This window comes from Homo sapiens, chromosome 2, assembly GCF_000001405.40.
Source record: "Homo sapiens chromosome 2, GRCh38.p14 Primary Assembly".
NCBI lineage: Eukaryota > Metazoa > Chordata > Mammalia > Primates > Hominidae > Homo > Homo sapiens.
In genome coordinates, this window is record NC_000002.12 from 161941575 (window position 1) to 161955710 (window position 14136).

General features: G+C 34.1%; 1 protein-coding gene across 27 annotated transcripts in view; it reads left to right on the forward strand.

The window, feature by feature from the left end:
* SLC4A10 (solute carrier family 4 member 10) overlaps positions 1-14136 on the forward strand; it is a 360855-nt gene that overhangs the window by 317159 nt on the left and 29560 nt on the right. For all 27 annotated transcript variants that reach the window (NM_001354461.2, NM_001354447.2, NM_001354441.2 and 24 more), the window contains 4 exons: positions 1218-1323; positions 5992-6153; positions 7574-7687; positions 9113-9274. In NM_001354461.2, coding sequence (NP_001341390.1) covers positions 1218-1323; positions 5992-6153; positions 7574-7687; positions 9113-9274 — 544 coding nt within the window. The remainder of the gene's footprint in view (positions 1-1217; positions 1324-5991; positions 6154-7573; positions 7688-9112; positions 9275-14136) is intronic.

The following is a 14136-nucleotide window of genomic DNA, read 5'->3' on the forward strand; positions in this document are numbered from 1 at the left end:
GGACTCAGCATACAGTCTCTGTAAACTGGCCAGAACCACTCCATGTTCAGTGTTCTCTTATTGGGAAGGAATGCTAGCCAGTTGCTGTGTCGAAACTACAAAAAGCAAGGGGCAGCGTAACATGGTTGGTTGAAATCAGCCATGGAGCAAGTCTTTCAAAAGAGCTTGTTTCTGTTTAACCCTTAGGAACGAAAGCCTACTGGTGGTTAACAAGGTAGGGGGTGTTACAGGGTGTGGCTGACCTACTGTTCCATCATAGACAGGAGCTCAGTTTTTAAGGTTTCTCTGGGGTCTCCAAGTGAGCCTCCCTGGAGAATCCTCCAATTTCCCTAGTGAGAGCAAGAACCATATCTGTCTATACTGCCCAACTCAGTTGTTTTTGCAATAATAGACAATAACTCTTTAAAGAATGAATAAGTGGTGGTGAAATGAAACAGAGTAAGTTCCTGATGTAGAAGGCAGAAGGGAGACTGTTGCTTAGGCAGACCAAGTAGAAACTATACGATATTTTCTATAGTAATAACCTTAGAAATGGCAATTCGGTTCTATAGTTCAATTAATATCACTAAAAGAGCTGTCCAATGAACTTACAAGTTATGTGGTATATGTGGGTTAATCTGGGAGACCAACCACCATTTATGAAATTCTTCTCTATGAAAATGCTTTATGAAGGGCAAATAGCAAGTTTACAAATGAATTTTTGGAAAACAAACTGTAAATTGAGGTTAACTTCTAAGGCTGTTAATTTGTGGGTATCTTTGTCTATATCTTCTTCTCACTGATATATCCTCAGGTAGCTAGAGTTCTCCTTTCAACTAGCCTTAATTTTGAATTATATGCCAGTTATAAATCATCTTCAGAATATGAATTAAATACCCCTTTAATTTTAATTGATATGATTTTACAATATTAACTACATAGTAACAATGGATTTGGATATTTATCATTTTTCTATTTGATTTATAATTTAGGGCCAAATGGGTGTCATAAGGGGCTCTCATTCCAGGAAACACTGTAGAGTAGTCTAGTATCCTAACAGTCTATCCATCTTGATTTTTGAAAATAGTCTGTTGTGGAGTAGTTTAGGATAACCTAACTACTTGTCTGTCAAATAGAGGAATGCTGTGACTGGAGAAAATGGAGCCGTTATACATTAGTCTTCGGTACAGTCACAAAAAGCTACTTATTTCACAAAAGACACTATTTTGCCTTTTCAGGTGTAACTGTGTGGAACCGCATAATCCCAGCAATGGCACATTGAAGGAATGGAGGGAATCCAATATTTCTGCCTCTGACATAATTTGGGAGAACCTAACTGTGTCAGTAAGTAAAACACTGAAAAATAAGTCATACCTAAGAGCTTTTGTTGACATTTTGACTCAATTATTGCCATTACAGTAAAATTTTTTTGAATGCATAATATAAAACTAATAGTTGTGTTTTAATTTTAATTTCATCATTTCAGATGCTCATCAGTAAACTGGGGTTATCTTTCATTATTAAGGTTGTTCTAATAGAAGACCAGAATTGCTCAAATAGCTCACTTATACAGAAATATGTGACCGAGATGGACTGAAAGCACATTAAATATGAGTGGTGTTGACCTAAATGAAACCATATGGCAGAACTAAGTCTGCCTTCTGTGTAAAGAACTCAGAATGCTCTTACTTTACTCTGTAATGCTGCTCCAGCTGTTCCGGATCTGCTGGGGGGAAAGGGATGTTTCTAATATTCTAGTGTCAATACTAAAGTCTTTGGGAGGAACAAATATCACTTTTCTTCACAAAATTCTGGCACCTCCCTCAACAAGATCTTTCTTTTTTCCATTTTATTCTTATCTCCCACTCAAGAAAGAGCATGGCAACATATTTTTCACCTATAACAGTTCAATCCTGTGCCATTGTCTTATTTCCTTTGACTTTTCTCTACTTTGTGATTTCTTTTTTCTCATACCTGCATTTCTCTATTTTTCTGAATCTATTCTGTGCCTCCTTTCCTATCAATACTTGCATTCTATGCTTCTGGTTCAATAAAATCTTGTAATTTGAAAATGTGTTCTACTTTAAATAAATATTAAAATCTGAGTAGCCCTACTTTCTTTTCTATTCTTCCCAGCTATAAACATTACAGGTTCAAACCTTCTACCACTTTACCTACCCATATAGGCTCAAGTTTTATTATGACTATCAGCACAAAACTATTGAGTTCTAGTTCATTTGATCAAATGCATACTATTTTAGTAAGTTGTCTAGTTAGTGAGCATAGAAATCTTTTTTGTTGTACAGATACTATAAAACTCTAAACATGATTCTTGTAAAGAGCATATGATCTATTGACTATATTCTTGATTTTCTCTATTGAATATGTTCTTTCAAAATTGAAATCAAATTACTTACTCTTTATTTAAAATTCTATCTTGACCTATATTTTACTACTTCTATTCTTACCCTAGCTGTGTTCTGTAGAATAAGCCTTCAGTTACTCTTATTGTTTTCTTTTGTTATTGTTAACATTTATTCTGTTCCACCTATTTTTCCCTAGAAAAATAACATTGCCAGTCTGCTTCCACTCAAAGAGCCATTTAAACTGAACAATAAAAGAATTGATGAGCTGATCAAGAAAAAACACTATAGTTATTCAGAATTTAGACATGGGGTCATGATTAATGAAATCATTAGTGGGTCTTCTGTCTACACTTTCTTTGGTAAACTATATTATGTTTACAGAGCCTCTTGATGTCTTCTTCAATATGAAAACCCAAATGATCCCATCTCTAAGTTATATAACATGATAATTTACTCTATATGTGTTTTGTATTATGTGAATAATTTAATACTAAATAATAATATTCCTTCTATGTATTAGCAAATCTTGAATTTTGAGAGTTCTAAGAAGCAGACATACAGCACAGTTATCAGGCTAGCTGTGAGTTAGATACCCTGAGTTTTGAGGTCAAGTAGAATAGTGAAAAATATTTTGCAATTAAAGCAAATACAGCATTGTGGGGTTGTTGGTTTTTTTCTCTTTTTTTTTGTCATTTTAAAAAGTTTTGTACTAGGTGTTAACATTTGAGCAGAAAGTTTCATATTATTTTTCATTAGTTAAAAGCAGTTTTTGCAATGGATAATTGCTAAACTTGACCAGAAACAGTCTTTATCACCAGAGGGAATACTATATAATGAAAACAATCTTGTAATTTTTAAGTCAAAAAAAGACCATTAAAATTTTTGTCTAATTGTTATGCTGAATTTTTTCCTCAATATATTCATAATGTCATCAAAAATATTTTATTAATAAAGCACTGAACTAGTGGCTATCACAACTAATTTTGTTAAAATAGTGACATAACATTTAATTTACATATTATTTGTTTGGCAGGTCCTGTAATGTTTTATTGAGTTGTTTGTTACATATCTCATGAATTATAATTTATACCTTGCCAACTCAGCAAGGGCAAAGAACTTTAGTTTTCTCTGATTCTCCCAAACTGCTCTATGCATAGTAAGTGTCAAACATTTGATAGAAGTACTTAATGTCTGTTTGAAACAGTTTCATCTTACTATTTAATGCAAATATTTATGGCAAACTGGAGTACTTAAGTTTGTGTGTATATATATATATATATATATATATATATATATATATATATATATATATATATTTGTCAGTATCTCAAAAATCAGCCTTTATAAGAAATCCTTAGGCAAGATTTAAAATATTCATAAGCAGTTAACCAGCATTTGGTGTTTCAGTGCCTGAATTACATATTTAGCTTGTACATATATAAGGGGCAGGACACTAATGCCAACTTTAATTTCTTATTCTAACTTAATTTTTGCCAACTTATAGAATTGCTGAAACTTAGAATGTGTTTGAAGAGTAATTAGTAGAAATCAGTTTGTCAACAAGCATTTTTTGAGTACCCATTGTAACTGAAACCATATGTTAGACTCAAAAAACGAGAGCAGGATTTGGATTTGGTTTTCATTTCTAAATTTCAGGACTTACTCTGTGTGTATGTGTGCATGTATGTATGTGTGCATGTGTGAGTGCCTCTGTGTGTGTATTGGGGATACAATTAGTATAAATCTGAAAATAATTGTTGAATTTAGCAGGTCACAATTTTTCTCTTTTAAAATTAGCATTTTGTTTCCTCCCAAAGAGAAAATAAATAACATTTTCAAATATGCTTTGAATTAATGTAATTAGGCAGACCATTGGCAAATTATAGAGTGTAAGACAGCTAAGGAACCCTTTAAATGTCATCTATGTTCTTAAGAATTGAGAACAAGATCCCGCCAAATGACTTTTATACCTGCAGAAATGACAAAAGATGCTCACAAATTTATAGATAATGTGTTTATCATGGAACTTTTAGCTCCTTTTTCTATGTAGCAATTTTGCTACCCATTATATTGCTTAATAATTGCTCTGCTAGCATTTCTGGACAGGTGCAGAAGAGGATGAAAAACACAAGGATTCATTTTTGCCACCTTATCTATTTTTAAAGCATTTTGAAAGAAGGAAAATTAAAACTTTAATTAAGGCCTGGGGGATTTTTCTGTGGTTTTTCAATTAGCCAAGTTGCTGTGCTCTGTATTAGCTTAACATGAATAATTGGAATTTAACTTTGCCTATCAAGGAAGATGTTTGCAGTTAAATTAGAAAAGGAGACAGATTCTTTAAGACAATAATAAGGTGTATTAACTATATTTCTCAAGACTCTCAGGCTTAGGGTAGCTAGCAACTCCAAGTAGATTTTACTAGTTGTTTGTTTTCAGATGACAGTGTAGCTATTTGTAATTTATTCTACAATCTTTGGAGTGTATTTACTTTTTGCTCTACAAAGATTTCAGGCCTAAAGTTGGGCAGACTCTGTGTTTGTGATCAATCTATCAGTTCATATTTGTCTCCAAGATCTCTCTGCAATTCAATTTATGTTCAGGGCAAGAATATCTCAAGGACTAATGAGATCACTGGATCATTTAAACCATTATTTCCTGTTTTGAAATGTAAAAATACTTTAGTAATCTAATTTTTAAATAAGATAAACCAAAGTAAGTTTAAAATAACTTTTTTTCATTCAAAATATTTGTTTGAAATGCTCAGTTTTTCCTGGAGGAAAAAAATTTTTTTGACTTTGCTGCCACCTCATGGCTAAGGCAGTAATTAGAAATAGTTCTTCAGGCTCTTACAGAACTACAGTTGCAGAAGAAAAAATAATCCATGGAGAAGTCATAGTAAATATGAGCTTTGCCTTGCTCATGTAGTAATTTTATTTCATTTGTTCTTTAGTCCAAGTTCGATAGTCCCATCTTTGACTTACAAGTTCATTTCAGTCATTGTATGTCATAGTTTTCTTGTTGCCTTTCTCATCTTTCTTGGCAGCTTTTGGACTAGATAATTCTACAAAGTCATTGTTCTTAGTCAATAAGCAATAATAATCTCACTGCAGAAATCGTGTTTGTATCACAGCTCTGCGGCCACCCACCAGTGGTGAGGCCACAACAAATTATTTAACCCCTTTATGCTTCAGTTTCCTCAGACATGGAATATTAATAATAGCATGAACATATTTTATGGTATTGGTGTGAAAAGTAATTTAAATGATGTATTTAAATAGCTGGGCATAGTGTCTGACCTTAGTAACCAATCACTATTACATATGTCATATTTTCAATATATCTCGTGTTAGGAACTTAGTAGATATTAGATTTAATACATACTAATTAATTGGTAAATCAATCGTTTTATACATTTAAATTTAAAAAGCAGTTCATGTTCAAATTTTTCATAAACCTTTGCATATTTCTCACCACCCATCCAAGTTGAACTTGAAACTCGTAATGTAATGCCTGCTAAATCATTGTGAGAGCCATAAAGGAAAAGCCTCAGCATCTGAACTACAATTGATCAGAAGGTGTTAGTTTTCTGCAAGAAATGTGTCCGGTTTTTTCTTAGTAGCTCCATTTGTTTTACTTCCTCTGGCAGGAATGCAAATCATTGCATGGAGAGTATGTTGGACGGGCCTGTGGCCATGATCACCCATATGTTCCAGATGTTCTATTTTGGTCTGTGATCCTGTTCTTTTCCACAGTTACTCTGTCAGCCACCCTGAAGCAGTTCAAGACTAGCAGATATTTTCCAACCAAGGTACTTAGACTATTTCTTGATCTAAATGTAAAATAACATAGGACAAAAGAAAGAGTAATTGATGTAATAAAAGGAGCCACTGAAAGGCTTTTGTGTGAGTGAGCTGCCAGGTTAGTTGTGGAGTGAGATGAGGGGCTGAAGAGAAAGAATTTGTGATGCAGGTGCTGGGAGTGCATATGCAGGCTTTTCTCCTAACTGCAAACCCCACGGATCAACTCCTACTTTCCTACTGACGTTTTTGGAAATTCACAGCACACACTGCATTACTGATTGTCACTTTTTTGCCCAGTGAACAGTGGGAACTATTCCAGCCTGACAGATACCTCAGAGGAGCCTATGTTACATTCTCTAATTGGGGAAGCCCCGGCAAGACTCATTGGAACAATATTCTCTTTTTCAATGTTTAAACCGTCAGTCCCTCCCCCTAACCCACCACGTTTGCATCTGCATATTTGGAAAGGAAAGTAAACAGAGAAACAGCTTAGTTCAATATTTAACACTGCAAAGTAACACCTATAATGTCTGATTCCGCCAAAAAAAATTTAAAAAAAGGAAAAGAAACAAGGAAACAAGCTTCTGAGGGATGAGCTATAGATTATGATCAAAATTCCACTCTGGAAAAATATTTCAAGAACTGTTCCTTCCGAAGGGGGCTTCTTTTTTGTCACCACTTTCTTCTCTAAGGTGGAAGATTCATTTATTTCCCCAAAAATCTTAGTCTGATTAATACAAAAACATTTTTCTAAGCTGAAACAATAATCTTAAGCATTTTGTGTATGCTTGTGTGTATGTCATAAAGGCATCTTAAAATAAACTAGATCTGGATAATAATTATATGTGAATATTTGCTCAGAATTGGCTTTATAAATGAGAAATGGCTTTAAAAATTGGCTCACATAGAATAAATTTTAAATTTGCCCACTCTGTTGTGTACATTCCCAACTGTCATGCTTATATTCTAGATAAACTAAAACATTATGTTTCTTTGATAAGAACAGATAATTTTATTTTATGATGCTTCAAGTTTATCATATTAAAGTGTTACCTGTGTGAAAGAGATCCCTAAAATCCAGCCAAATTCTGCCCATGCTACCTTATTCTGCATTCTGAATATTCACATGCATGGGTTCATCATAAAGTTAGATTTTAAATAAACATTGAAAACAGCACAACCACGATGTAGCTATTCCATAATGCCTCATTCTGGAAAGGTTGAGTGTGTACCAATCTTAACGACAGTGATACATAAATATATATTCAGGTTCTGACAGAGCTAATGGTAATCTTATAGTATGCATAAAATATAATATTATGATATTATGTCATAAAGTGTTTATAAAGTGTGACTCTAGATTATGTTCCTGAGTATTCCTTGATATTTATAGCTACTTTAAGTGACAAGTGTTTTCATTATTTTTAGGTTCGATCCATAGTGAGTGACTTTGCTGTCTTTCTTACAATTCTGTGTATGGTTTTAATTGACTATGCCATTGGGATCCCATCTCCAAAACTACAAGTACCAAGTGTTTTCAAGGTACTTACTATCTCTCTCCCTCTTCCCATCTCTCTCGGTCTAATCTTCATTTAGATGATACCTATAACTCTAGTACTTAGGATTTTCATGAAAATATGAAGAATTTAGATTAGAAGACCAGTAAATGAAATGCACACAGCATGGCTAAAATTTAGGTCTAATATTTAAAAATATAAGAATTACAAAATATAAATAATTATAAATATAAAACTTGCTTGAAAAAAATTTCCTGTCAATTCTGCCAGTTGAAATACCTATATATAACATTCTTAAAAGATAAGGAAGCATTTGAAACTAAGAGAAAAGGATTATCTTGGCAGAATTGTACAGTGAATAAGGCTTGGAAAACAGATAAAAATAGATTGGGAATAGAATTCTGACCGTGTTACTAATGGGGTACAGTTTGAATATTCCTTATCCAAAGTGCTTGGGATCGGAAGTGTTTCAGAGTTCATTTTTTTTTCAAATTTTGAAATATTTGCAAACACATAATGAGATATGTTTGGGGTGGGGCCCAAGTCTAAATACAAAATTTATGTTTCATATATACCTTATACATATAACCTGAAGGTAATTTTATACACTATTCTTAATAATATATGTGACCTATCACATGATGTGAGGTGTGAATTTTCCGCTTGTGGCATCATGTGAGCGCTCAAAAGTTTCAGATTTTGGATCATTTCAGATTTCAGCTTTTCAAATTAGGGGCACCCCTTTGTTTTCTCTGTCAAACAGGGCTGGGGACTTCTATATAGGGCTCTTGTCAGGATGAAATTTTGAGAATCATCTCAGACAGCAGCCATGTTTGGAATCCTTCCCTGAGCCTCTGCTGTGACCAAGTATCTTTTTTATCATTTTCACTCAATAGCCTCTGCACATCAAAAATAACAGTTACAATACCATAATGATGTATTTTGTTTAGATGTCTGTCTCTGATTCTAAACTGAAAGAAGCCTCTGATTTATCTTTGTATCTCAGTTCTAGCACAGTGGTCAATGTGTCAATATGCTATTTGTAAATTTCAATACATTTTCCAATAGTAAATAGTAAATATTAATATCATTTTATTTAATACAGGTATTGATTAATAACACAGATTTTTCAACAAGTCTGTCAGAGTTTAAATCCCATCTCTACCACGTACTAGCTTTGGGATCTTGGGCAAGTTACTGGATCTCTCTGTGCCTCAATTTTCTTATCTGTGTCATCTTTAGAGTGTTGTGAAGAAAAAAAAAATGAGTTAAAATATTTAAAGCACTTAAAATGGTTTTAAGTGATTTATGAGTATTATTATTATTTATTATAGGCCACTCAGCTCCTCTGTTTATAATTAGGGCTTTCCTAGTAGCATCTGTAAGACCTAATTTGATCAAGTATTCATTAATCCAGTTCATAACTATGCACATTCTTTACTTTATACAGCCCACTAGAGATGATCGTGGCTGGTTTGTTACGCCTTTAGGTCCAAACCCATGGTGGACAGTAATAGCTGCTATAATTCCAGCTCTGCTTTGTACTATTCTAATTTTTATGGACCAACAGATTACAGCTGTCATCATCAACAGGAAAGAGCATAAGCTAAAGGTATATTTTAACATCCATTTTAATGTAAATAATTATGACAACTGATATCAACTGATGTTCATTTGACTTCTATATTCTGTATTCATTTGCACAGTGAAATATATAAAATAATGTTTTTAGATGTATAATTTTTATTGTCTTACAAGATACTTGGTCTTACAATGAGATGAGAATTTACTTATTTGTAGCACTTGGCTGAGCTCACGTCTGAGAACTCACCTCCAAGGCATAAAATAAAAAACTGTCAAAGTTTTAACTTTTCCATACTTAACATATTTTAATGAAATAACAATCTGTTCTGGTGAAGTACAACCATACCAACTTGTCTTACATCTGAGATTCCTCTATTCCTCTATTTAACCCTAAATGTATCTATTACATTGAATTCATTATCAGAATAAATTACAACTTCAACTATTTCTCATTTTCTTTAATTATTTTTCTGTCTGCCTGTAACAACAAAATCCAGACATAAACGTCACAGTTTAGAAGTGACATCTTTGAGTTTTATTGCAGATTTCACTGTCTCTTTTATAAAAAGAATAACTATAGATGTGTCTTAGTTACATTCTGACCTTGCCATTTTGCAATTGTGAATAATCGAAATTGTTCACTGGTATGCAATTTGCCTGAGATATGTAATGTAAGCACTGTCACTTACTTACAGGAATATGTTAAATAAAATCGATGAAATCATTAAATGGTTAAAAATAATCTGCATCAAACCTTGTAAAAACATAACATGCACAATCTTGTTTTTGTTTTGGTATCGTGGGGTAGTTGCCAGCTATTTTCACATACCCTTTAAACTCTAGGAGAAAAAATCATTGTCAGAGCAACAGAAATCATGCTTTATAGAATTTTTTTATAGGAATGTTAGAAAGATGAAAAATATCTCTGATTAAACTCTGATGCAATATATTGGGTCAATGCAAAAGTAATTGCAGTTTTTGCCATTACTTTTAATAATAATAATTACATAAATGTAAGAAAGCACACTTATTTGCAATAAATCTTATGAAGAAGGAATTTTGAGTATATGGTGGAGAGAATGTGTGTCTATCTTAAAGCAAAGGACATTTTTCATTCTCTTTGTAGAACGTAAGTTAAGAATTCTCACAACTTTATGTATTTTATTAAATGATACATTTTAAAAAATCAACTAAAAAACCTGTTTTAGGAAGAAAGTAAGCCATATAATTATTATTTACCTTTCAAAAAGATTTTTTTAGCCTTTATAATTAGGCAGAAATTCTAGTGTGTTCACTGAAAAATTATCCTCTGTAAGGGCCATCAGTTAAATGGATTCAGGCAGCATTTTTTTCTTATTGTAAGTGGAATCATATTAAAACAAAGTGTGGAAGTGAAATGTGTGCTGAGATTGATATTACCTTCCTGGCCATTCTGAATCTTTGCCCTTTCAACCTTATAAATCACATGACACTTGCTCTTACTCCTTGTTCTTCATGAGCCCTTGACATTCACAGCCTTTGTAAAGCTCCACATTGACAAATACACTAATTTCCCCCTTCACATATACTGTGGAATAACAAAAATGTAGTAAAGCATTCTTTAAGTGGTCCTTTCAAGTACTTGCATTTATAGAATTAAATGCAGAACTAGAACTATTTTTGTCACTGAAATAAACCTGAGGCTACATTACTAAATCTGTTTTATTGTGCAAATAAATGATTATGTAGTCAAAAGTTGTGTATTTTTGCCCCTTACTACTCTGGATTTAGTAAATGATACAGCAAATCTGGCTTAATCATAAACTCTGCTATATGGCCACAGGCAGAAGAGTCAGCCTGTTCTTGGCCACTGTGAATCTGAACTCTCCATCCTCCTTCTTAGATATGAATACTTTTAAAGCAAATTTCTTCCAGTGAAGATGTATTTCATCTACATTGAACCCCTATTGGGCCTATAACTCTTGTCTCCTATAAGCTTCTATAGAGTGTGGTCTGATGCTACTGGTTTTCCCGTTAACAACAACAAAATCACCTTCTCAGAATGTTATTTACTCAGAGTAACGGTTTGTTCCATAGTCCTTCTCCCCGCCTGTTGCTTCATTGAAATGTTTGCAAAGTCTCCTGGCTTTGACTTGAACCACATTTTCACTAAAAGATGTGTTTCTTGAGTATATCACCAGACCACAAGCTAACCACTTGTGAAAGCATTTTCAGCTTTTACTAATTTTCTTTTCTCACTTGAAAACCCATTTTTGCCTTGGTTGGAGCATTCCCCGAAATTGTTTAATGAATCATGTTTTGTAGTTTATGTATCAAACACTTGGTAGACTCCACATCATGTATCTAAGTCTACATACACCCAAGTCAACTCAGAATTCCTCATTTCATTCTTTATCTCTCCCAAACATATTTTAGATCTTTTTACTTTTTCTTCACCTCTATTGCCAGAACTAGTAGCTGGTTTTCTTTTAGATGATATTTCTCCTGCTGATAAAAATGTTTTTATTGGCCAGGCACAGTGGCTCACGCCTGTAATCCCAGCACTTTGGGAGGCCGAGACAGGTGGATCACGAGGTCAGGAGTTAGAGACCAGCCTGGCCAACATGGTGAAACCCCATCTCTACTAAAAACACAAAGATTAGCTGGGCGTAGTGGCGGGCACCTGTAATCCCAGCTACTCAGGAGGCTGAGGCAGGAGAATCGTCTGAACCTGGAAGGCAGAGGTTGCAGTGAGATGAGATCATGCCATTGCACCCTGGCCTGGGCGACAGGGTGAGACTCCGTCTCAAAAAAAAAAAATGTTTTTATCATTTCATGAGTGTCACTATTTACACAATAAAGCTGTGTTGCACTGCATAGGTGACTTACTACTCCCGAAGAATGGGGGAGCTCAAAATCAGTAAACCTCGAACTCATTGCATCCTATGATCCTTTGGATGGCTCCAGAGTGAAAGAAGAGGCAAATACAAAAATTTGAGAATGTGAAGTATCATGTATATTATACATAAATGTACATATAAATCCATACTCTCTCTAGCATTTGTTTGTTTGTTTCTCCCTTAGAGAAGTGGATTAGGCATAAGTTAACTGAATCCTTTTGAAAAGCATTAAAAATATCTACTTGGGTTTTTTAAAGCACATTCTCTAAATGTGAAAAGAGAGATAAAATCTTATAAAAAAGAAAGTTTCTGTTAAGATACAACTGTGGGCTTTTCTACATGTTTCTGTAGACAGTTCAGGCTTCTTTTGACATCATTTTTAATAAACAGCAATACAATCCCGGATCACTTGAGTAAATGAATGCATTTGCAACATTCATTTGGCACCATATTCTCTTGATGATTATGGCATTTGATATGTTCTTTTTTGCCCTCTTTGTCAGCCTGGTTCTTCATGTCAATCTATAGTCTTTTATGTGGTTAACTTGACAGATGCAGGAAATTGCTGCCAAGCTTTGAAATGAATTTTTTCAGCAGTGGCATCTGGGTATCAGATGGTCCTCTTGGCTGGCCTCTTGTCTTGCTGCATGTTGGTTTTAGTGGGGTCTGGTGTAGCATCACCTGTTGCTATGCTCCCTTTTCCTCCCATATGTCCATTTCCTGTGATTCATGGATGAATGTGAGAATAAAAGCTCTAGCTCTGTCTTTATTTGAGAAAAAAATCTACAGAAATATGTTAGAAGGTGTAGAGTTCTCTGTCTGACAAAGGGATACTTCTCTTTGGCTGGCATGCCTATCAGCTAATAATTTTGTTACAAAGTCCAAGTTTTTAAAGACATTTTAAATGAAAGGCAAGAAGGATACTGGTTAGTTAGGGGAAGAGCAAGAACTGCTTTATTTATTTCCTTTGGTTTACATTAAATCAAGATGCTGCCATTGTTGTACAGCATAATTAGGGGAAATTATATTTTTGTTTTTGTTATATATTTATATATTACAAAACTAGCTTTATAAATTTAGAAAAGAAATTATTTCCTCTGAAAGAATTATTTTGCCTACTTCCTGCAATTCAGAATCCCACTGTTTACATTTGTATCATATTTTTAAAACATTCAATAAGAGCTATTGGAAATCACTATCGCGACAAAGATCTCCCTCATATTATTGAGATGTAGTGAATGTGGACTCTGAGAAAGTCCAGGTGTGCTAAAAAGTACAAGCCTGACTCTCAAGGCCCCCTGTCTTCTGCCCTCCTCTGATGCTCATCTCACAGCCACCAGCTCCTCTTCCATCTTTTGATTTCTCTTAGCAGTACCATAATTTTGCAAAATAGCTCCAAGGGGGCACCATTCACATTGTACTCCCTCAGAGGCAGAGGCTTAAGTATGAGGTCCTTCCCTGTTCTACATCCTTCTCACTCCAGAGTTGCTAGGACAAAACACTTCTCAAACTGCTTAAGACATTGTCCTTTAAAGGGACCAAAATCTGAGTTCTATTCTATGGAATTACATCTTCCAAAATGTTTTGCAAAAGGGCCAAGGGATGATATTATGGTCCTGGCAAAACTGTTTCCTATGCTTTTTTGGTTATGCTGACACCAGGCAGTTTCTCTTCCTACTCTTCAACTCTTACTAATCAAATTCTTTCTTGAGTTACTTGCAAAGAAAAGTTTCCAGAGTCATATTCATTCAGGAAATTGAGTTAGATATTTTGGTAAATTGTAGTATTGCCCCAGTAAGCTGAATCAATGAAGGGTACCATTGCTTTGGTGTCAACATAGGAGGAACAGGTCCTTAGGCACATAACTCTCATTGTCTCCTCACTATCATCTCTTGCACTTTTATAATTTGGAAAGGATGAGCAGAAAGGAAAGAAAGTACAACTGACTTTAAGAACCTTCTTACTAAGAAAACAAGAAAACAAAATCACAGAGAAAAGACTACCATGACAA